The sequence below is a fragment of the Homo sapiens genome, chromosome X, assembly GCF_000001405.40.
Source record: "Homo sapiens chromosome X, GRCh38.p14 Primary Assembly".
In the NCBI taxonomy this organism is placed as follows: domain Eukaryota; kingdom Metazoa; phylum Chordata; class Mammalia; order Primates; family Hominidae; genus Homo; species Homo sapiens.
In genome coordinates this window covers 41,646,670-41,672,134 of record NC_000023.11, presented here as the reverse complement: position 1 = coordinate 41,672,134, position 25,465 = coordinate 41,646,670, and the positions used below count along the sequence as shown (strand labels likewise).

Below are 25,465 nucleotides of genomic sequence, written 5' to 3'. Positions count from 1 at the left end.
AGAGAAGACATGCCCAGGAAGAGCGTTGAAGTCCCTGGGAACAAGGCTTAATTAAAATCATTAAATCTGACCCATCCATGTAGTACTCCTTGGCTTAAGGGTGGAATGAATAAAGCAAAGAAAAGAGGACTGGGCAGGGTGGAGAAAGAAAGGGCCATGGCTATCCCCTAACAACCAGGATACAATGGCTCTGTAGGTAAAATCAGAGGTTTCAAGAAACATTTTGGAAGTGTAAAATATATTTTTTCCTAAAGAAATCTAGACTGTCACTCAAAGGAAGACAATATTGCATAGTAAGGCAAAAAAAATGTATCTGTGTTTCTTGAACATCCATGCTTCCTTAGTAATTCTTAGCACTGTACTCTAACCTTACAAGCAAATAATACCTAAAGAACATTGGATGGAACAGGTATGTATTTGGAGAAATCAGCCAGACGTGAGAATATGACAAATAATTCAAGCATCCAGAATAATTTAGAAGTTTTTAATGTGTTTCTCTATTATCATGTTATCTAATTTTATGTAAACTGCATTGTTCATCTTCAATGAATCCTTATCTTCGGGTTTGTTTTTTGTTTGTTTGTTCGTCTGTTTTTCTTTTCAGCCCCACTGTGTTCTCCTTGCCTCAAAAGAAAACTCGGCACCTGTTAAACTTGGAGGCTTTGGGGTAGCTATTCAATTAGGGGAGTCTGGACTTGTAGCTGGAGGTAAGACTGCTTTAAAAAAAAAAAATTCTTCAAAACCTGGTCACTTGCGACTGGTATAAAACTTTCAAGCTACATATTAGCCCAACCTCAGTGTTTCATACCTCATTCCACCCCACCCCAACTCCCAAAAAGCATCATCAGATAGTTTTTAATTTAATAACTCTGTAGTCATAACTAGAATCTTAGTCCCTTAAGAATAGACTCTTTTTTCTCTTTGTACCTCCAGTACTTAAGAGACTGTACAAGATTAAAACAGTGTTCAGAGAAAATAAGTTTGAGGCATAGTGCCTTTTAAAGTTGAACTGGCCAAATGAAGTCAAATCTAAAATGTGTAGATTAGCCACTTCCTGGTTTACACTGATGGCTAATTTTTAATTTCATACTGTTTGCCTTTTTCCATTTATCAAAGAATCCTGCTCAAGCCATCAGCCTGTATATTAGCAAAGAATAAGCAGATGTGAATGCAGGCTGATTTTATTATTAGCCAAAGCAAAACATAATTTTTAAATTCCCATGTCAGAATAAAAAGAAAAAAGTTACAAATTATATAATCTTGCACAGCACATTTCATATAACTCAATTCCTTATAGCTAGAACATCAAGCAGTAACAACATAGACCATCTTCAGAAAAATGAGCCATAGGTCATAGTTGTAATTTTTTTTTTTTTCTTTCAGACAATGTCTTGCTCTGTCACCCAGGCTGGAGCGCACAGTGGCACGATCATGGCACACTGCACTGCACCCTTGACCTTCCAGGCTCAAGTGATCCTCCCACCTCAACCTCCCAAGTAGCTAGGATCATAGGCGTGTGCCACCATACCTAGCAAACTTTTTTTATTTTTAGTAGAGGCAAGGTCTCACTACATTGCCCAGGCTGGTCTCAAACTCCTGGGCCTAAGCAGTCCTCCTGCCTCAGCCTCCCAAAGTGCTGGGATTACAGGTGTAAGCCACTGCACCCAGCCAATAGTTGTATTCTTTAAATAATTTTTTCACCACAGTGCCCTCTAAAATTAAATTACATTCAAATTTTCTTTTAGTTTCACATTCTTTTCCAGTTAATCATTTCCAATAATATGCAAAACTGCAAGCTGAGTATAGTTTCAAAGAATGCTAATTTTTTCCCCTAATTTAAAACTTTCTGTTAGTGATTGGAAGACTGACCAAAGGGTCAGGTAGTAAAGCACAGTTTAATCATAGAATCTCAGGACTCCAAAGGGCCTTAACTTCTCCAGTCTTGTAACTAATGATTGAATTCTTCCATAATATTCCCAAGAAAAGATTGAGTTCTGGTATTAAACCTCAGAGAGCAAAGTAGTCACTACATCCCAAGACAGTTCATTTCATTTTTGGATAACTCCTTAAGTATTAAAAAGCTCATCTTTGCATCTTTCTGTAACTTCTACCCAGTCATCCTAATCCTGACTTTTGAAACCACTCTGAACAATTTTCATCCTTCCGTATGATAACCGTTCATCTGTTTGTAGACAACTACCATGTCCCCCTAGGTCTTATCCAAGTTAACTTCCCTAGGGTGATTTGGCCATTCTTCATATAAACTGGTTCAAAATCTCTTCAGTATCCACAAAGTACAGGGCCTGAACTGAACACTCTAACTACAGGTAGTACAGTACAGCCGATCCAGTGCACAGTAGCATTGGGCTATCACTTTTTTGTGTTCTGGGCCTTAAATTTCCCTCGAGTTCCCCAAATTGCATTAGCTTTTTGGACAACTACATAGCACTGATGGTTCATACTGATCTTGTAATCAAGTGAAAATCCTAAATTATTTTTTAAACAAATGTCACTGTTAAGCTAACTCTCTCAATTCTGGTACTTATACAGATCATTTCTATGTTAAGACTACGTAATTATAACAAATAATTTCTGATGATTATATTACCAAGGTTAATGGGATGAAATGAAATGAATTTATTTTATATGTTATATACTGGCCATATATAATGACTTTGTTTCTGTTGCTCTGGATCTATATCCTGTTGGTATTTAGAATGTCATGTTCTTCGTATTTTATTGTACATCTTGACTGGGGGGGAAAATAGATGCATTATGTTTACCTGGACATTTTCTCCATATTAATCTTTTTCTAAAGTCCATGAACCTTTCACCTAAATTGTTTATTTTTAAAGCTAATTTTGAACTCCCCCCCACCGCCCACCGCTGGTATGTCAGTATTCAAAATGTATTTTTCTCCATGCTTCTAGAATTAAAATACTTCCTGATGGTCAAAATATTGTCATTTCTTAGCACACCTTTTTTTGTATTCTTGAAATAACTGAATGTTACGTTTTAAAAAATAGAATATGAATAAATTAGAGATAAATTATTTCTCTTAGAAAAAGCTTTTCTGCTGTTTAAGGTACTTTTGAAATTTTGGTAATTAAGGTTGGGCACGGTGGCTCATGCCTCTAATTCCAGCACTTTGGGAGGCTGAGGCGGGCAGATTGAGCCCAGGAGTTCAAGACCAGCCTGGGCAACATGGCGAAACCCCATTTCTCCAAAAAGATGCAAAAATTAGCCAGGCATGGTGACAAGAGCCTGTATTCCCAGCTACATGGGAGGATCGCTTGAACCCGGGAGGCAGAGGCTGCAGTGAGCTGAGATCGCACCACTGCCCTCCAGCCTGAGCAACAGAGCAAGACCCTATCTCAAAAAAAAAAAGAAAGAAATTCCGTCAATCATTTAATTATTTATCAACTTTAAAGCAGAAAGCCATTTTCCTGTCAGTTTGAAATCCCAGTCCCTAGTCCTCCAAATAGAAAGGAATTCATTTCTTTATATGTTGCATATAGTAAAAATCATTTAAACATATTTACACTCCCCCTACCTGAAACTCAGCTATTTAGGAAACTTACTTATCCAGAATACAACTAGAAACCTAGAAAATAACTACAATAGCAGCAAAATTATTCCTACCCTTAAAAATCCACTCATGCTCCTCACAATTGAGCATCTAAAGACACTCTCTAAGGCTGACTTGCTCCCATGTTTTAAAAAGTTGTATAGATTCGTGTTCCTTCATACCTTGCACATGCTATTCCTTCTAGTTGGAGTGCCTTTTGTTATTTTATCTATCTGGTTAACTCCTACTGTTCTGGAAGGCTGAGCTAACAATTATCTCCTCTTTAAAGCAGGCTTACCTTCACCATCCCGAGTTGGATAGCCCTATTCCTTCTCTCTATATTCCCATAACTATCTGGGCTACATACCTCCATGTAGCATTGGATGCAGGGACTTACATCAAAGACTGTGATTTGTAAGAGTAAGGGGGACCATGGCTGAGGGTATCTAGGACCTAGCAAGCACTTAGGAAATTGCTATTAAATGAAATAAACTGGTTGCTAGTCAGGTTCTAGTTAATAGCAGATTATAAAAGCAACAAATTAGGAGAACGCAGAACTAAAGCATAGTGAGAGAAAAGAAATAAAAGCCTGACAAAAATATATATGATATATACTGAGCAGACACCAAAACTTGGAAAGCGCAACAGCCTTTCAATATGAAAGAAATCAACTCTTGCATACCTCTGAAGTTCCTGAGGGTGCTTTCTGTTCTACAGCCTAGGTCTTTAATCAGTATCTACAATGACAACTCTGAGTCATCAAGAAAAGGTTAAATTATGAGCAGCATTCTGTGTAAAAGAAGTCAGGAAATTGTAGAAAGCCATACAAAATTATTTAACTAAGGTGGGCACTGTGACTCACACCTGTAATCCCAGCTACTTGAGAGGCCAAGGCAGAAGGATCGCTTGAGCCCAGGAGTTTGAGACTAGCCTGGGGAAAATAGTGAGACTCTGCAAAAAAATTATTAAAACAAAAAGGATTGTGCGCATAAAGATTCAAATCACAATGTATTTAAAAATGTAGCTATTCAGAACAATTCTCCCCCTGAGATTCTGGTAGGAAGGTTTTATTGTATTATCAAAATATATAATATTTAAATATTTGTCCAAAATATCTCAAACTGCCATTTAATTTAGTTTGCTAATTTGTTTCCTTTTCTTAAAATTTTGTGGTCAAAGTCCTAAAAGTCAAGAAGAAGTATCAGCAAAAACAAGGATTTTTAGGAAGTTGGTGTATATTAAAGATTAACTCCAGTCCTTTTTACCTTCTACTGATTTACATGAAATAAAAGAGCCTTCCTCTACATTCTTTCTACCATGGTTTTTCCCCTATCATCTGTGAGCAAATTATTGAACCAAACAACAGGCATCTTCCCGAAGATTGAACACTAATTCTCCAGAATTGGGTAGTCTTCGTCTAGCTAAATGGAGAGAACCTTCTCAGGATGGCTGGGACTGGCCATGGTCGCTCTGATTATTCCCAAGTTAAGGCCCCCATTTTGAGTGGCTTGGCCCAGGAAGTGGTAGGAGTCAAGTTGAGTTTCAAAGCATCATCCAAACTGTCAGCAGGTACCTAACTGGTACCCTGGTACCAATTGAATGATACTGGTTTCCCCTACTCCTGCTAGCTCCTGTCCATCAGAACAAGGCTAATTCTCCAGTGGCCCCTCCCTGTCCAGGCTATTAATGAAGTATGGAAGGCTTAGTTCCCATCCCTGCAGCTTCTTCGTGTTACTTGAGGAAGCAAAATGGGGCAATACAGAAATAAAAGTATTTCTCTAGCCAGGTCCTTCTAGTCAATAGTTTTCACTGATCTATCGTACATTTTAAATGAAAATATTTTCACTACTGGAACCCTGAACTTAAGCTTTTCTATTATGGGGGGAGGAAGGGAAACCATATGATCTGCAGCAAAGGTACATCCTGATACACAAGCTAAGAGCTCTTTTATCTTTCTGCATCCCAACTGAGTTTCATAATCATGAACAGAACTTGATATATTCTCTCTAGCTGAACCAGAAGATCTCTAAGGTCTTTTAAAACCACAGTTCTGAGTTCTAGATAAAGTATTGCACAATCTTCAAACTAAAAATTATCTTGAACTCAGTATGATGAAAGAGAGAGACAGAGGGAGGAAGGGAGGTGGCTGGGCTTGCATATATCTAGAAGAGCTGCCAAGTCTAGTGGGCAGTGCCCCATCCCACAGTGATCTTCCTGCCGGGTACAAGCCTTTCATTCCACAATAGAAGACTTCTTTTGGGATACTGAGTTAAAGATAGTTATGAATGTGCAAACAGCTAGTATCAGATTCCTTACAGAAAGCTAATTTTTGATAGAGAAACAAAAGAAAACTCTTTAAAGAAGATGAAAGTCAAAGAGGATTGAATGGGAGGAGCTTCATAATTTTGCTTTTGTTTATGCCATATATTTGCTCTCATTCTCTTCATATGTTAATGTTAGGAGGAAGCTAAAAACTCCTACTATAACAAAATATTACTAACTATTGTTAATTGCTATAATTAACCCATAAAATCAACTGAACAGGATTTCAGAGTCAAATTCATATTTCAAATAACAGTTCTCAGCATTTGGTTTCATTGGGGAATTTCCATTTGGCAGTCAAGTCATCTTTTTTCCACCGATTTTTTTCTCATGACTTCCTGCCCCCTCCTCTCCTTTCCCCTGCCTCTGCCTCTGCCCAGGGTAGGCCTCCCAACTCTTTCCTGGACAGCTACAGGCTCTGCCTGTTGACTCTTTCACCTGCCTCTGCTCTATATATTTGGTGACTTTCAACCATGTGAAAATTAGAAAATTTAAACTTCTTCATGAGGTAAGAACCACATAAATACCTACTACGTAGCATGCAGAATTCAATAGGGAGTGCCAGTGTACAAGACAGAATACCTATTCTGGGCTCAATGTTTTCAGGAAGCAATTAGATAAGTAATTTTTTTCACCTATGTGAACTTGATTTTATGGAGAGGTGGAGGAGTGGTGAGAGTATATGTATTGGTAAACTTTTTATTTGGATTGTTATTGTTCTATTATTTTTAGTTTTCAAGTGAAAATCCCATTTTATGTAAACATTTTTCCTTAATGTTGTTTTAAATGTAGGACGTGTTGGAACACCTCATTTTATGGCACCAGAAGTGGTCAAAAGAGAGCCTTACGGAAAGCCTGTAGACGTCTGGGGGTGCGGTGTGATCCTTTTTATCCTGCTCAGTGGTTGTTTGCCTTTTTACGGAACCAAGGAAAGATTGTTTGAAGGCATTATTAAAGGAAAATATAAGGTAATGCATCATGAACATTTTCTTTTTCCATTGAGATTAATTTATCCTGAAAAATGTTTTTTTGAAGTTACTGTCTGTCTTTGCCCACTAATTGACTGCCAGGTAGTTACCCCATCAGAGAAAAGGTCTTTGCTTACATCATTGATCCAGTGGCCTTGGTAGGCAACATAGGCCTCAAGTAAATTTCTGAGTCATTGTCAGCTGAGCTATCACCCTGGTGAAGAAAACATTTATGAACCTTCTTTGTGTAATTTGAGAAAGGGGCTTCATTTTTAAAGCCTTCTGCTTAATTTGTAAAGTTAAAATGGAATTTCATCCAGGTATAATTTTAGTCATTCTTTATCTTAATTTTAAATTTAGGCCAGCACAGCTGAAAACATTTGCCATTTACATTCCAGGATAAACTGAAATGCCAGGATGACAACTGCATTTCATGATACAATATAGAGGCATTTCAGTGTGGCTTAAACATTCCTATTCTTCTTTGGCTATTAGGTGTTGGCAGCCTCATGTACTATCACAGACTTGTGATTAGTAAATCATTACTTTAACTAGTAAAAAATTGAAAATTCATTACTGACTTTATGAATAGCGATATCACAAACACCTAAGGACTTCTTGGAAATAAGTAAGCTTAAAGTTGATTTCACTACCCCAGCTTTTAGACTCCTTTGCCCTGTCCCACAAGGTACGACTGACAGTGACTAGGAGGCTGGGCATGGGAAGCATGGGGATGTGTGTGTCTGGGTATCAGGTTAAGGCTGTTTAAGTTGGGGAAATTCTTTTTCCTCTCATTATTACTGAAACTCATACTTTCTATTCAACCTCATCACTGTTTCATTTTCAGCCATGACTGACAACATAAAACCAAAAACATGTGTATGTAACACTGGACTCTAAAACTATGAGGCCCCTAAAGTTTTCTCTTCAATTCCTCGGTAATGTTAGAATTTTATATGGGACTTGGAAAAATAAAATTTAAAAAGAAGAAAAGTAAAGTGGTTCCAGAGTTACAGTCTTATCCTTTTAAGCCATAACTGAAGTTTATGGAGATGAGAATGGTATATACTTTTGTTGGTTTATTTACCTCACTCACCATCAGTTTATGAGTGCATATAAGTTTGTCTTTTGTTTTAGTTAGTTTAAGATATATACCAAAACTCTGTTAACAGAGAAAGATGTTTTCAGTGTAGCATATTCTGCTCCTCCCAGAGTCAGCTGGCCACTGGGGAATAAAATCAATACTTACCAGGTAACTAAATGTCTCAGGAAACTGCTTGTAAGTAGTCATCCCTCTTCAATCCAGGGAAGTTGTAAGTTGCTCTCAGGAATGCACAGCCAAATTCTGGTTGAATTTAGCCAAGTGAAATCACAGATACTAACGTTTTAAAAGAAACATGATTAGTGATACATCAGCATAATAATAATACTAGCAATAATGATAGCTAACTCAGGCATAGCACATAGCATAGCATACTTTACATAAGTAAAGTGCTTAGAATAGTTTAATTCATTTAACCCTCACAGCAACTTGTGAGGTAGGTACCATATAATAATAATCCCCCACCTGCGTTTTTGAGTTATAGGCATTTGCTAATAATAGAATTCTTCCTTTGTGTTTGTTCAGTTGTTAACTTCCTAGTTTCCAAGGCAATGTGCTTCATTCCAACAGACTCTGGTATTTTATTTCGTCTATTTTTAAAACATTGAATAGTTATTTTTGTTTCTTGGTAAAAAGACTTAGACTATTCACATATGTGCAAAAATTAAGTCATTTAAAAATTCCCTCTTCCTAGTATTATAGTAAGTCAGATGGATGGTGGCAGCTACATCATAATTTTTTTTTGTACCTGGGGTTTGAAGCTTTGAGGTTAATAATTTATTTACTTTTTTACTTGGCTAACCTCACCTCTCATTTATCTTCAGGACTTTCCTTACAAAAAGCCTAGGTTTTCACCACCTTAGTTTGAAGTATAGATCCATCTCTACCATCTATGATGAATCTCGGCCTTTTTCTTTTAGTATACTGTCATATGATTCTGTCAGCATTTATTTTTCTATCTTTTATTATCAAAAATTTCGAACAAAAATAGTAGAGAGAATAGTATAATGAGCTCCCAGCTTCAGTAACACAGACAATCTTGTTTTATCTGTATTCAACATATTATTACATTATTTTAAAGCAGATCTCAGCTGGGCTCACTTGAGCTCAGGAGCTCAAGACCAGCCTGGGCAACATAGGGAGACCTGGTCTCTACAAAGAGTACAAAAATTAGCCAAGTGTGGTGGCACACACTTGTAATTTCAGCTACTTGGAAGGCTGAGGTGGCAGGATTACCTAAGCCTGGGAGGTCAAGGCTGCAATGAGCCATGATCACACCACTGCACTTCAGCCTGGGCAGCAGAGCAAGACCCTGTCTTCCCAAAAAAAAAAAAAAAATAGATTTCAAAAAAATTATTTCATCACCTTGGTGGTTCTTTTTTGAGACAGAGTCTTGCTCTGTCACCCAGGCTGGAGTGCAGTGGCACGATCTTGGCTCACTGCAACCTCCCCCTCCCAAGTTCAGGTGATTCTCGTGACTCAGCCTCCCGAGTAGCTGGGATTACAGGCGCATGCACCACGACACCCAGCCAATTTTTGTATTTTTAGTAGAGACGGGGGTTTCACCATGTTGGCCAAGCTGGTCTCAAACTCCTGGCCTCAAGTGATCCACCTGCCTCGGCCTCCCAAAGTGCTGGAATTACAGCTGTGAGCCACCGCACCCGGCCACATTTCATCACCCTAATGGTTCTGAGCAAAAGAACTATTAACAAAATTCTTGATCTCTATGGATATTTTAAAGAAAAGTTTGATGACACCTTTTAAATGCAGTACTTTTTTTTTCTTTTTTTACCTCCAGCAGTTGCAAATGTGAGACCACATTAGAAAATACTGTTTCACTGGAGTATATGCTAACACTTAACCTCAATTAACTTCTTTGTAAAGGGCAAAAATATATTTCCCAAACCATATATAAGAAGTGTAATGTCATATCATTATTACAGATAACCAGTTAGTATATACACAGCAAGATTCTAAGCTGCTATGGGTTTGGTATTCAAATAAGTAAGATTGTTTTATAGCCTTATTTTGTTCCCCCGTATAGATTCAATCTCCCCAATTTGTTTTAGCTACTCTTCTCAGCTGAAGGAATAGAAAATCCTGTGTTGGACTGTCTTGTAAAAAGGACAAGGGAGTATCCTTCTAAACCTCTACTCATTTCAGAAATCTTACCACCCCTTTCAGATGATTTCTCAACCACTTTGTCAAGGAAAAATTATTCAGACTTTAAAGAGCACATTCGCTCCAGGATAGGGAGAGGAAACAAGTCTACCCAAGCCCTGTCTAATCACTTACCTCATTTCAAACTGGTCAGTTGACCACAATTTCACTAGGATGAAAAGTGTGGGATTTCATCCCTCCCAAAGTGTGGGATTACAGGCATGAGCCACTGTGCCCGGCTGGATAATGATAATTAAACAGCCTTATGGCATTAGTCTTAATGGGATTTGACAAGCAGAAGTGGCTACTATTTGAAATTCTGCCTGTTGGGGGGAAAAATGAAGCACACTTCAATTTTAAGGGCTATCCCCAACATAAAGACACTTTTCACTCCCCATCTTCAAGTACAAAGTCTCACATTAGTCAGAGCTAATGCTAGCCCTTGCTCAAATTGTGATGATTCATTTATACTGCAGTGCAAGTACTGCAGTTTCATTTGGCTTTAAAATGTTGTGGAGTTTATTCTTCATCTTTCTTCCTTAGAAGGTGATGTAGGTCTCTGCCTGTTAAAGCCATGGCTTTGCTTGAAGGTCCTGGCACTGGGTAGCTCACATAAACTCACCCCATCAGTAAACCTGTTGATATTGAACAAGGAATGAGACCCTACTCTGTCTCTGTCTCCTTTCCCCACTTGCCTTCCCAACCCCATGCCCTAACCACTCTGATTTTTTTTTAAATGATTCTGGGTCTCAGACATATCCCTTTTCCCAGGAGCCTTCTAGCACTTGGCTCACAGATCCACAGCCTTTCTCATAAGTCCTGTGTCTTTTGAACAATTCATAATTATTTTTGTTTGATTTTAATCAATATACCATGTGGCTTAGTTGTCTCATCTCTAAAAGAGACAAAAGTAACTTCACTGAGGACAGTATTCAAGCAAATCTGTTATTCTGTGGGACCTACGGTAGTAGAATACTTTTTCCTAAACACCGAAGTTGATATGCAGTGACCAAAATATCCTATTAAAAACTTTGCACAGTTCACAATTATTGCTAACCTCGATTTTTTAAAACATATCTTAAAAATATTTCTTTAAAAATTTTAAGTTTTATTTTAGTTCTTTCTGGATCGATGTATTCTAGTCTCCCTAGCTAAGGATCTAAAGATAGAAACTGGAATAATGAACATTCTAGTCTTCAATTATTGAAAATATTATCACTTACATAACAAGAATATGGGTATGGAATATTTACTAACACAAATTCTTATGTAGTAAAGAACAACAGAAGAATTGCATTTGTCCTTTTCTTAGAATGCAAGCCTTTAGAATCAAATTTCTGTTCTTTGCTCTCAGAATTTTATTCACATTGAAGCAATATAGGAATATTAAATAATAGTGAATGTTAATGTCTCATTTAAGGTAACTATGTAGTTTTCCTTTCCTCCTCCTCAGATGAATCCAAGGCAGTGGAGCCATATCTCTGAAAGTGCCAAAGACCTAGTACGTCGCATGCTGATGCTGGATCCAGCTGAAAGGATCACTGTTTATGAAGCACTGAATCACCCATGGCTTAAGGTACATGAGCATTCACAGGTCACCTTCTACACTTTGTCTGAACACTTCCAGTGACAGGAATGCGTTGCTCTATGAGATGGTCCTTTTTACCTTTTCTTTTTTCTGAGCAGTTTTCATTAGTTTTTTTCATCTTGTTTGCTGTTCCTGCACATCATCTGTGAACATCTGAATAGAAGACATACCATTTGAGTGTCATGCAGCTATCAGAGGGTAAAAAACAGGATTAAGACAGAATATATCAGGGGAAGGCCTCTTTTTTCTCTGCCAACATGTGTTCCAAAGATATGCAACATCAACAACTGAAGTAATACCATGTTATAATAAATTAACTATCTTTATTTTGGGTGTGACTGTGTGCTTTATAGCATTAACTATTTTTCAGTAGATACTAGGTATAAATTTTCTGTCTTAGGAAAACGGCAGGTTTTTTTTTTTTTTTTTAGACAAGGTCTGACAACATTGCCCAGGCTGGAGTACAGTGGCACCATCTCTACTCACTGCAACCTCTGCTCCTGGGCTCAATCGATCCTCCCACTTTAACCTCCCCAGTAGCTGGGAGCACAGGCATGCAGTACCACACCTGGCTAATTTTTGTATTTTTTGTAGAGATGGGGGTTTCACCATGTCGCCCAGGCTTGTCTCAAACTCCTGGACTCGAGCGATCTGCCCGCCTCAGCTTCCCAAAGTGCTGGGATTACAGGCATGAGCCACTGCGCCCAGCCAAAAGGCAGATTTTAAAAGTTCATTTTATATCCCATCTTGCCAGTGAGTATTAAGGAAAATTATAACTTGGGACAGCAGTGAAACAGTACTTTTTGATTAAAACATTATACAGCCCAATAATTCCAGGCAATTTTCATTTTAGATGTTAGAAAGACTAACGCTTGGAGAGGTTAAGAATTTGCGCCAAGTTGGCCGGGTGCGGTGGCTCATGCCTGTAATCTCAGCACTTTGGGAGGCCAAGGTGGGTGGATCACAAGGTCAGGAGTTTGAGACCAGCCTGGCCAATATGATGAAACCCCATCTCTACTAAAAGTACAAAAATTAGCCTAGCGTGGTGGCGGGCGCCTGTAGCCCCAGCTACTGAGGAGGCTGAAGCAGGAGAATAGCTTGAACCCGGGAGGCAGAGGTTGCAGTGAGCCAAGATCGTGTCACTATACTCCAGCCTGGGTGACAGAGCGAGTCTCCGTCTCCCAAAAAAAAAAAAAGAATTTGCACCAAGTCACAGAAGTTGTCAGTGGTGAAACCAGGATTCTAATTCAGCCTACCACTACCCTTTGATTTTGCACTAGATCCTATCCCTTTTTATTTGACCACATTGACCCAACAACTTCCTCCCTTCCTGCATCATCAGAGTTCTCTCTCTGTTGGATCTAACATGCTATAGGTTATTTGTATTATGCACACTCTTATATAGACATAATACCTTCTCCTGACCCTACAACCCCCTCCAGGTTTTGCCCCTATTCTTTGCTTCCCTTGACAGCAACTCCTGAAAAGAGTTGTATAGACTACTCACATTGTCCAGTTTCCCATTCCTTTCCCATGAACCCAGTCTAGTCAATATCACAATCTTATTTATTCCACTAAAACAGCTCTGGTCAAGTCACTACTGACCTTCATGTTGCTAAGTCCAGTGTTCAAATCCCAGGGCTTCTTCTTGGCCTGTCAGCAACATTTGACATCCATCCTTCTGAAACACTGTCTTCTCTGGGCTTCTGGAACACCTGCTCTCTTGGTTGTCCTTCTACCTCCTGGCTGCTCCTTCTCAGATCCTACTGATTCTTCCTCATCTCCCCTCTCCCACCTCTTCACACTGGAATGCCATAGGCCTCCATCCTTGCTCCTCCTCTTTTTCTCTGTTGAAGCTGAAAAAACTCAAACTGCTCTCACACCACACAGCAACAATCAATACAGAAGACTTCTGTGACCAGAAGTGTGGAGATTTCTTCCCACCAACAAGCAAGCAATCAACTCTGCAGCAGACTGCAGCTGGGTGTCCTCCCAACTAAATTCAAACACTATCTACCTGGAGATAGCATCAGATCCCACAGATTGAGGGCTCAGTCCCACAACCCTCACCTCTTCAGACACCAGTCATAAGTCCAGGCCGCTGAAACTTCTGCCAACCAACTACAAATTGGGGACACCACAGCCTCTTCCTCTTTGGGGTTGGTTAATTTGCTACAGCAGCTCACAGAATTCAGGGAAACATTTACTTATGTTTACCGGTTTGTTACAAGAGATATTACAAAGAATATAGATAAAGAGATGCACAGGACAAGTTACAGGAGAGGAGGGGAGCAGAGCTTCCATACCCTCCCCAGGCACAACACCTTCCAGGAACCTCCATGTGTACAGCTATTCAAAAGCTCCCCAAATCCTGTCCTTTTGGGGTTTTATGGAGGCCTTATTACTATAGGCATGATTGATTAAACCATCGGCCATTGGTGATCAACTTAACCTTTGGTACCTCTCCCCTACCCAGAGATTGAGGGGTGGGGCTGAAAGTCCCAACCCTCTAATCCTGCCTGGGTCTTTGTGACCCCATCCTGAAGCTGCCTAGAGGCTGCCAGCCATCAGACATCTTTGGCGTTTCTAAGGATTTTAGGAGTTGTATGCCAGGAAATGAGCTAGAGGACCAAATATATATTTCACAGTATACCTCTGGTCTTCAAACCTGGATTCCTTACATTAAAAAAATATAGGCCAATGTGGTGAAACCCCATCTCTACTAAAAATATAAAAATTAGCTGGGTGTGGTGGCAGGTGCCTGTAATCCCAGCTACTTGGGAGGCTGAGGCAGGAGAATCGCTTGAACCCAGGAGGCAGAGGTTGCAGTGAGCCAAGATCACGCCATAGCACTCCAGCCTGGGCTACAAGAGCGAAACTCTGTCTCAAACAAACAAAAAAAAAAGAAATATAAAAGAATATATAATTCAAAAGACACTGCCACATTACTAGAATCTCATTCAGGCATTGATAATTAGTTCAGTCCATCATCATAATGTATGAATAGGTCTCCCAGCATGAGGCCACTCAGGTTTGCAGGCTTTCCATTGATCTTGCCAGGTTCTAAAAGCAGGAATGGTCTTGGTTTCACCGTTTCAGACACCTGATATAATTGAGCTAAGAAACAGTATCCTTTCTTGCTCTGAGTCTCTTTCAAGGTGTTAATGTAATGTGATAATGGATTTCCCTGAATTCATAACACATTTATTTATTCCTTTACTCTCAGCTGTTAATTTTTTCCTCACTTTATTAATAACCTTTGGAAGAAACATTAGAATCAACATCGTGCTGGTCTAGATGGCAGACAGCAATATTAGTCTAGTAATTACCTCCTCCTCAGTCCACTCCCATGCAGGGAGACTAAGGTTACATAGGTGCCAATTTAGTGGACCGTTTTTACCACCAGGCAATATAGCTGCATTCACAATTAACCCGTTTTGCACAACCCACCCCCATCAGGTCCTTAGGAATTCTGACACAAGGTTTAAAAACATAGTTACAATTTCTTGTTTAGGAATCATCCCTGGTTCTAACACTGGTAGTTATGGCTCTGGTCCTAGAACCACTGCATAGGGAGGGGCAGGGGGAGTTTAGATGATATGGGAAAGAAGGAAAGAAAAAAGTATAGTCATTATATCAGCATACTCCCCTCTTGTCAAGAATTGCATAGTCATAACAGCATCCTCTACCACCCCCCTTCCCCAGATCAATCAGAAAAACGAAAGAATATCTAGTGGGGACACTCCTTTAGCCCCACTCATGTTGAGTGTGAGTACACACTGGTAAAGGCAAGTAAGCCAGCCCTTCCTGCTTTCATCTCCCCCTGTTTTAGACAACCAATGTTTTCATTGCCCATTTTAGTCTCTATCAAACTATTACTCTGAGAAGAATATCTCTGCCCACTGCTGGAACATTATGGGCTGTACCGTGTGTTCTTTGGCCTAAAGAAATGGTGTTCAGCTCTCCAAATATGTGCAATATCTTCTGTTCTGGCTTTTTTATGGTATTCTCATCATTCACATCTTCCACCGGGCAAGCAAAGCCCAGTCCAGAATCAGTGTCTACTCCTGTCAAAACCCATCTGTGGCCTCCCAGGGTTACCAGCATCAGCCTCACTTGCCAGCTTGTTCAGGGCTTTCCCACCAGGGAAATCTGCCCCACAGCCATGGGCAGTGTCTGTCTCTTTTGCTGGCAGACAGAACAGTTCTTATTGGCATTTTGTGCCTGAAATGATACAAAAGAAACCTGTCTAGATGCAGCCCATCTCTGCACTGTTGCAGTACCCGTTTATCCACTCATTTGATGGACCCAGGTGGCCACCTCGAGGGAGCACACAGGGTTCTCTGCTTGTCAATGTCAATCATTTTCCAAACCCAGAAAGAGGCTCTTATGATGGGCATCAACATATTCTACTTATTGCACCCCTCAAATTTCCATAGGGCCATTCTCCATATGGGCATCCCTTTAATAAATAGGCCAGGTTTCCACTGCCCTTCTGCCTGACCATGTGACCAGGCCACTGGTGACTGTCCATGAGTCAGTAAAAAACCAAACACGGGAGCTTTTGTTATTGTTCATTTCTTCAGAATGCAATTCAACTGCCAAGCTAATGTGATCTTACCTTCTTTGATCAAGAGTGGCATCCTTCCAAACAGGATGCTGTCGATTCACCTTGGAACTGTCATCCACACACCAAGCAGCTCTTCGTTGGTCAGTTGAGAGCTGTTCACGGGGCCCTGTCCAAGTGTCAGTAGAATCCCACAGTTCCTCACACAGTTCCAGAGTCAGTCCTAGGGGAAAAGAGGCTCCCTGCTTGAGGATGTTTCCTCCTTGCACTTCCCGGAGAGGATGTTCCTGCATAAACCATTTCCATTTTATTATGGAACTATTCTGGGCGCTGCCATCCCCATTTGAATGTTTCTCTGACATCATGTGAGAAAGCATGGGTATTTCAGGTGTCAAGATCATTTTATGTCCTTCAGTCATTAGGGATAGTTTCAGTTAATGTCCCATAGCAAGGTAGTAAATGCACCGAGATGGAAATTCTCTAGTGCAAAGTCCTAGTGGTTGTCACTGGGAGATGCTCACAGACTTTGGCCATAAGCCCCAGTAAACATCCTGCAAAGGGCGAGCAGATGGAGAATTTGTCCCTACCAGCACTCCAGCTTCTCAACTCCACACTGTGTGAGCTCAAGCAATCTTACTGGTGCCTAGTTAGCGTGTCCAATTAATATTTCTCGAAGTGCAGATTTACATTTCTTCTGTTTTACAATACTGGGTAGGGGAAGTGTTCTCCACCCAGTCATAATTATCCAGTTCCATAAAACATTTAGGTAAAGGAGACATAACTTATTTATGTATATCCTGTTTAAACATTCCAAATCTCATACTCCTATCAACCCTCACTTTTACCCTTTCTTGTTTAAAAAAAAAAAAAAAAAATGTTGAGTCCCCAACAGCAGGTTGAGCCAAGGGACCTTGCCCCTTTTGTCAGTCTTTGTATTGATTAACCTGCCTCAACATTACCCCAAGTAACTGTTGGTCAGCTTTCTCACTGTAATCTCTGCCTTCTGACTTTTTCAATTTCTCCAAACTGGGGTGAATACAGCAAACCTGTTTGGAATCCCTTAACATTGGGAGAACAGCAGAAGCTCCCTACCAACCTTTGATAGTATTATATTGAGATCTTTGTTTTAACCCCATCGATTTCCACTTTATTCATCTCATTTCTTTTTATTTCTTTTTTATTTTTTTGAGACAGAGTCTTGCCCTGTCACCCAGGCTGGAGTGCAGTGGCGCAATCTCAGCTCACTGCAACCTCCGCCTCCCAGGTTCAAGCCATTCTCCTGCCTCAGCTTCCCGAGTAGCTGCGATTACAGGTGCCCGCCACCATGCCTGGCTAATTTTTTTGTATTTTTATTAGAGAGGGGGTTTCACCATGTTTGCCAGGATGCTCTCAAACTCCTGAGCTCAGGTGATCCACCCGCCTCGGCCTCCCAAAGTGCTGGGATTACAGATGTGAGCCACAGCATCCGGCCCTATTCTTCCCATTTCTTATTAGCCCTCTAAAGATTCCACCCTGCTGGGATGAGTCCCATGATTCTCCTCTTTCTTTTTTCTCTTAGTTTCACCCCATCACTGTTTTCTTCATTCACCTTATTTATTAATAACCATTTAAACTTTCCACCTTCCTGGGATGAGTCCTGTGACTCTCCTCTCTGCCTTTCCCCAGTCTTTTGTTAATTACGCTCATGTTTTCATTGGTGCCCATACAAAAGAGGCTCCCTCAGCCATAGCATTTACTACAGCCAGAGTAATGGATGTATTCAGTGAGTGAATATCTCAGTCATCATAAAGCCAGTCCCACATGGCCTGCATAGGAACCAAATGAGCCGCTTCACCTGGGGTACTCCACTTGGCATTGATAGGTAGAGTTGGACAGTCTCTACCTTCTCAGGGTGTACAGACCTTACAGTGGCTTTTATTCCATTCACTAGGCTGACTGTTCCCTCAGGAATAACTCCCTGTGTGTCTGGATCACATTATACCCATTGTTGATTGTTCAGTAGTGAGCTGTGGGTCCTGCATCAACCCAAACATGCCTGTCCACTCTGCAGCATTTAAAACCAAAGAAAGTGCCCTAAATTAGTTATTCTCACAATCCATTTTAGTAAAGGATTTTCAGTAAACTGATGATACCAATCTATGAAATGAGACAATTTCTTCACACTGTACCCTCTGGTTTCAGTAGTTTCTTGGTTTTGCCCTTCCCTCACATCAACTACCTTCGTGGTAACCACAGGTCGTAGAGGTACTGTCATCCCTGTATAATTTTTCCTTTGGGGGTCAGCTTGAAGGCTAGTGGCCTGGGCTCAGATAGACTGAAATCTGAGCTTGGTCTAGCATCAAGGCCTCATCCAGCATTTGTTTCATTTCTGTTCAGCTATTACAGACAACCACCACCAAGGGAGTGAATATTTCATCTTTTTCTTACTAGTTTGCATATCCTTATGCATCCAGTGAACCAACTCCCTGAGTTGGATCCATCTCTAAATTCCACTGGTAACTTTTACCTTTAGCAATTGATTGCGACACAGTTGCAGCTCCAAACCATGGAAGACCACGATAATGAACCAGGAATCAAAGGTTCCTCATCTCCCACCCTTTCATTCTTTCTCTTCCCAAACCACATATTTCTGTGAGCCAGGGCCGTTCTAGCAAACCCTACTTCACTGACACTAACTGAAGGTGGAAAAACTCAGAACTGTTTTCCTCTGCTCTCGCACCACACAACAACAACAATCAACACACAAGACTTCTTTCACCAAATGTGTGGGGATTTCTCCCCATTAAGAAGCAAGTAATCAGCCCTGCTGCTGGGTATTCTCTAATTCAATTCTGACACTATAGTATCACATCCCACAGTTTGAGGGCTTGGTCCCCAAGGCCTCCCCTTCCCACCCTTTCAGACACCAGTCACAAGTCCAGGCCTCCAGAATGTCAGACTGACTGGCTACAAATCAGAGATCCTACACCTGCTCTTTGGGTTCCATTAATTTGTTAGATCAGCTCACAGAAGTCAGGGAAACACTTTTACCATTGTGTTATAAAGAAAATTACAAAGGATACAGATGAAGAGATGCATTGATGGAGGTATAGGGGTGAAGTGGGAAGCTTCCATGCCCTCTGTGGATGCACCACCCTCCAGGAACCTCCATGTGTGCAGCTATCCGGAAACTCCCTGAACCCTGTCCTTTTGGGTTTCTATGGAGGCTTCATTACCATTGACCATTGGAGGTCAACTCAACCTTCAGCCCCTCTCCCCTCCCTGGAGGTTGGGGGTGGGGCCAAAAGTCCCAACCCTCTCATCCCTCCTTGGTCTTTCCTGTGACCACCCCTCATCCTGCAACTGCCTAGGGGCTGCCAGCCATCAGTCAGTCATTGGCATACAAAGATAGCCCTTACGCCATTCTAAGGATTTTAGGAATTGTATTCCAGGAAACGGAGCTGTAGACCAAATATATATTTCAAAATATCACGTCCATCTACACTCCGGCCCTTGGAGAGCTCATCTAGTTTTGATGGCTTTAAATGCTATCTGTACAACAATGACTCCTGAATCCAGGCCTCTCCCCCTAGGTATTCTTTCTTAATTCTGTATACAGTTTGGCTCCCTGACACTTGACTCATGTCACCCCTTCCTACTCTCCCTGCTTACTCCATTCCCATCATATCAGCCTCCTTGCTGTTCTTCAGACTGCAGGCACATTTCACCTCAGCACCTTTATATGACCCTTCCCTAGAATACTCTTCCCTCAGATATCATGGCTTGTTCCCTCACCATCTTCAGGTCTTTGCTTAGGTATCAGCTTCTTAGTAAGACCTTCCCTGACCACCCTATTTAAAATGTGGGGGAAGGAATGCCACCAGTATTCCCTATCCCCCTTCCCCTCCCTTATCTTTCTCCATAGCATCTGTCACCCTAAGACATACCTATATGTTACTTATATGTTTATTGTCTGTCTAGGTCATAAAATATAAGCTGCATAAGTCTAGGGATTTTTGGCTCTTGGTTCACTTCTGTCTAGCACCTAGAATGTATCTGGCATGCAGTAGGTGCTCAATGAATATTAATGATTTAATCAATGAATGAATGTTCGTTGTATTATACCATGCTACTTCCTCAGATTATGCAAAACAATAAAATATTTTAAAAGTAGATTAATAATGTATCTTAAGGTGATGACATGGAATAGTATTACAGGACAATTTTGAGATTTCAGTGGATCTTGATTCTCCTTAAGAATATTACTTCTCAGCCTGGGCAACATAGGGAAATCCCGTCTCTACAAAAATAAAAATTAAAAAATTAGCCAAGCGTGGTGGTGCGCACCTGCAGTCCCAGTGACTCAGGAGCCTGAGGTGGGAGGACTGCTACTTCAAAAATATGCATTCACCTCTCTGATACTCAGTGCTAGTTATTCCTGATTTCCCCTAGAAAAGAGTAGTGAACAATTTTTAGATACTTTCTTTGTTTTGTTTTGTTTTTTATTTGTTTGTTTTGCCCTCCCAGATATATAATGAACACTTTAGAGGTAATTCCTATTTCTCCTTTACTTTTCTCACTTTCTCCATAACGGGGATCTTTTGTTCATTCAAAGCTGGTTTAAATGCCAAATAACAATGAAAATGGCAGGCATTTTAGTCATTTTTCAAATCTCTTAGAAGGTGGTTTAACATTATACCATACCTACTTACAGTGCTTTCAAAGCTTATCTTGGCTAATAGCATATTTATTTTTGGAAACCTTTGTTCCTGCCAATGATTATAGTTCTCGTTCTAAGTAATTTGAGCTTAATACATAATAAATTTCTAGCACAAGAAAGACAAAAAATGTCAGTAACTTAAATGAAAAAGTTTAAGACGGCTCTTTGAGCTGAGTATCGCATGCCATGTCTAAACAACAGTTTAACTTCACTACTTATGTCATCTGAAGATGGAAAAACTCAATTAGAATGTTATCCAGCTGGTAAGAGCAGGCTTATGTTATATTTCAGTATTTGTCCATGTGTATTTATAAATCATTACTGTGGATGTAAGAGGTATTTTTTTAGAATGGTTGAAATTTAAATATGAAAAACACCTGGATACCTTGCAAATTGAAGAAATAAAATGATACTGGTTGCAGTGGCTTGAGCCTATAGTTGTCTCAGCTACTTGAGAGGCTGAGTAAGTAATTACTGAGTAATTACTCTAAGTAATTAGAGTAAGGTGGGAGGATTACTTGAGCCCAGGAGTGAAAGGCTGCAGTGAGCTACGACCATGCCACTGTACTCCAACCTGGGAGACAGAGCAAAACCCTGTCTCCACAAAAAGAAAAAAAAAAACAAATAAGATGAAGAAAAACTTTGTAATGAAGGCTACCCAAAGTCATAATACCATTGCTTTGTGTCAAAAACAAAAAAAAACAAAAAAAAACCACAAAAACCAGGCATGATGCCATGCACCTATAGTCCCAGCTATATAATTTTTTAAAGTTCACAGCCACTGCAAAACATGCCAAATTGTAAAGACCATCGATGCTAGGAAGAAACTGCATCAACTAACGAGCAAAATAACCAGCTAACATCATAATGACAGGATCAAATTCACACATAACAATATTAACCTTAAATGTAAATGGGCTAAATGCTCCAATTAAAAAACACAGACTGGCAAATTGGATAAAGAGTCAAGACCCATCAGTGTGCTGTATTCAGGAGACACATCTCACATGCAGAGACACACATAGGCTCAAAATAAAGGGATGGAGGAAGATCTACCAAGCAAATGGAAAACAAAAAAAAAGCAGGGGTTGCAATCCTAGTCTCTGATAAAACAGACTTTAAACCAACAAAGATCAAAAGAGACAAAGAAGGCCATTACATAATGGTAAAGGGATCAATTCAACAAGAAGAGCTAACTATCCTAAATATATATGCACCCAATACAGGAGCACCTAGATTCAAAAAGCAGGTCCTTAGAGACCTAAAAAGAGACTTAGACTCCCACACAATAATAATGGGAGACTTTAACACCCCACTGTCAATATCAGACAGATCAACGAGAGAAAAAGTTAACAAGGATATCCAGGAATTGAACTCAGCTCTGCACCAAGCAGACCTAATAGACATCTACAGAACTCTCCACCCCAAATCAACAGAATACACATTCTTCTCAGCACCACATTGCACATTCCAAAATTGACCACACAGTTGGAAGTAAAGCACTCCTCAGCAAATGTAAAAGAACAGAAATTATAACAAACTGTCTCTCAGACCAGTGCAATCAAACTAGAACTCAGGATGAAGAAACTCACTCAAAACTGCTCAACTACATGGAAACTGAACATCCTGCTCCTGAATGACTACTGGGTACATAACAAAATGAAGGCAGAAATAAAGATGTTCTTTGAAGCCAATGAGAACAAAGACACAACATACTAGAATCTCTGGGACACATTTAAAGCAGGGTGTAGTGGGAAATTTATAGCACTAAATGCCCACAAGAGAAAGCAAGAAAGATCTAAAATTGACACCCTAACATCACAATTGAAAGAGAACTAGAGAAACAAGAGCAAACACAATTCAAAAGCTAGCAGAAGGCAAGAAATAACTAAGATCAGAGCAGAACTGAAGGAAATAGAGACACAAAAAACCCTTCAAAAAAATAAATGAATCCAGGAGCTGGTTTTTTGAAAAGATCAACAAAATTGATACACCGCTAGCAAGACTAATAAGAAAAGAGAGAAGAATCAAATAGACGCAATAAAAAATGATAAAGGGGATATCACCACCAATCCCACAGAAATACAAACTACCATCAGAGAATACTATAAACACCTCTACTCAAATAAACTAGAAAATCTAGAAGAAATGGATAAATTCCTGGACACATACACCCTCCCAAGACTAAACCAGGAAGAAGTTGAATCCCTGAATAGACCAATAACAGGCTCTGAAATTGAGGCAATAATTAATAGCCTACCAAGCAAAAAAGTCCAGGACCAGATGGATTCACAGCCCAATTCTACCAGAGGTACAAGGAGGAGCTGGTACCATTCCTTCTGAAACTATTCCAATCAATAGAAAAAGAGGGAATCCTCCCTAACTCATTTTATGAGGTCAGCATCATCCTGATACCAAAGCCTGGCAGAGACACAACAAAAAAAAGGAGAATTTTAGACCAATATCTATCGGGGGACTTGCCCCGATAATCACGTAGGTTCTTTTCTATTTTTCTTAAGCGTCGGCCGGCATGATAAATAAAGGGACAGAGTACAAAAGAGAGAAATTTTAAAGCTGGGCATCCAGGGGAGACGTCACACGTTGGTAGGATCTGTGATGCCTTTCGAGCCACAAAAACTAGCAAGTTTTTATTAGGGATTTTCAAAAGGGGAGGGAGTATGCGAATAGGTGTGGGTGACAGACATCAAGTACTTAACAGGGTAATAGAATATTACAAGGCAAGTGGAGGCAGGGCGAGATCACAGGACCACAGGACTGAGGCGAAATTAAAATTGCTAATGAAGTTTCAGGCACTATTGTCATTGATAACATCTTATCAGGAGACAGGGTTTTGAGATCAACTGGTCTGACTAAAATCTATTAGGCGGGAATTTCCTCTTCCTAATAAGCCTGGGAGTGCTATGGGAGACTGGAGTCTATCTTACCTCTGCAATCTTGACCATAAGAGACAGGTACGCCTCGGGGTGGGCGGGGGCCAGTTCAAAGACTTACTCCTAGGTGCGCATTCTCTTTCTCAGGGACGTTCCATGCTGAGAAAAAGAATTCAGCGATATTTCTCCCATTTGCTTTTGAAAGAAGAGAAATATGGCTCTGTTCTGCCTGGCTCTCCAGCAGTCAGAGTTTAAGGTTATCTCTCGTATTCCTTGAACAATTGCTGTTATCCTGTTCTTTTTTCAAGGTGCCTACATTTCATGTTGCTCAAACACACATGCTGTACAATTTGTGCAGTTAATGCAATTATTACAGGGTCCTAAGGTGACATAGCCTTAGGCTGACAGGATTAAGAGATTAAAGACAGGCATAGGAAATCACAAGGGTATTGATTGGGGAAGTGATAAGTGTCTATGAAATCTTTACAATTTATGTTTAGAGATTGCAGTAAAGACAGGCATAAGAAATTACAAAAGTATTAATTTGGGGAACTAATAAATGTCTATAAACTCTTCACAATCCACGTTTTTCTGCCATGGTTTCAGCCGGTCCTTCTGTTTGGGGTCTCTGACTTCCTGCAACATCTCTCCCTTTCTTTTTATATAAATGTGCCATGGCGATGAAGGCTTGTTCGTTCTCTCGATTTTGACGCAGGATTCTTTGACTGGTCCAGCACACTAAAAACAAACCGATTAAACAGAGAAACTTAATTCTAAAATTTACTACAGTGGAGCCCCCAATAGGCTTAATCTAAGTCGTGGGGTTTAATCTATAAAGATTTTCTGCCACCTGATCTAACGCCTCAGCTCCAGGCAGAATGGATAAGTGAGCTTGAGAGGCTTCAAAAATTTGTTTCTTTAATTATGTCTAATGATAAATTATCTTCTTTACCTAGAAGGTGTCCTTTGACTTTTTCCTATGAATTATCAGTCTCATTATAGGAATACGGGGTGATGCAGAAATCCGAAGTATTCCAATCGCACTGCATTTGCAATGCGATGTTCGAGACTCACTACTTGATCTCTAAGCCAAATAACAGACTGTCTTAAATCATTAATTTGATTTGCCAATTTTTGATCGATGCCTTGTTGAGAATTCCACATTTGGGTGGAATTGGCTTGCCAATCATTAACAAAATGAGCCCTTTGAATAGATTGGTGTAATGCCATTCTAGCAGTGGTGGCCATTGCAGTGACAGTAATTAGGCCTATGATAACAGCAATTAAAGTGAAAACAAATCTCTTAGATCTTTTTTTAGAATTCGCTGTAGCACTTCATTAATTAAATGTATTGAGGGGGAGGATACCTAAGGTCTAGGTAAAGTTACCGGAACCTAGATTCCTTCTTGAGCTCGAACCAACATTACACTTTTCCTGGAGTCAAAATGGGAGTTAATACAAGTGTATAGATGACAATTGATGCATCGGACGGTTTGATTATTCGTCTAAATTTTGATATTTCCTACTAACAGTGTGTAAGGAGGCTTAACACAACTCTGTATGGGAATAGTCAGGTTGGAGGTAAGTAAAGCAGAATGTC

At 40.1% G+C, this 25,465-nt stretch overlaps 1 protein-coding gene and 1 long non-coding RNA gene across 14 annotated transcripts in view; one reads left to right on the top strand and one right to left on the bottom strand.

The window, feature by feature from the left end:
- CASK (calcium/calmodulin dependent serine protein kinase) overlaps window positions 1-25,465 on the top strand; it is a 408,621-nt gene that overhangs the window by 251,420 nt on the left and 131,736 nt on the right. For 11 of the 12 annotated variants that reach the window (NM_001126055.3, NM_001410745.1, NM_001126054.3 and 8 more), the window contains exons 6-8: window positions 605-707; window positions 6,683-6,858; window positions 11,574-11,696. In NM_001126055.3, the coding sequence (NP_001119527.1) occupies window positions 605-707; window positions 6,683-6,858; window positions 11,574-11,696 (402 nt within the window). Of the gene's footprint in view, window positions 1-604; window positions 708-6,282; window positions 6,399-6,682; window positions 6,859-11,573; window positions 11,697-25,465 lie in introns of those variants that run through there. The other variant, XM_011543997.4, reaches the window with a different exon arrangement.
- The window catches only part of LOC124905180 (uncharacterized), a 39,334-nt gene continuing 25,332 nt past the window's right edge, over window positions 11,464-25,465 (bottom strand). The window contains exons 2-3 of one of the 2 annotated variants that reach the window (XR_007068219.1): window positions 13,314-24,603; window positions 11,464-11,861 (exon numbers count right to left, since the gene is read on the bottom strand). This is a non-coding gene — a long non-coding RNA (uncharacterized LOC124905180). Of the gene's footprint in view, window positions 11,862-12,377; window positions 24,604-25,465 lie in introns of those variants that run through there. The other variant, XR_007068220.1, reaches the window with a different exon arrangement.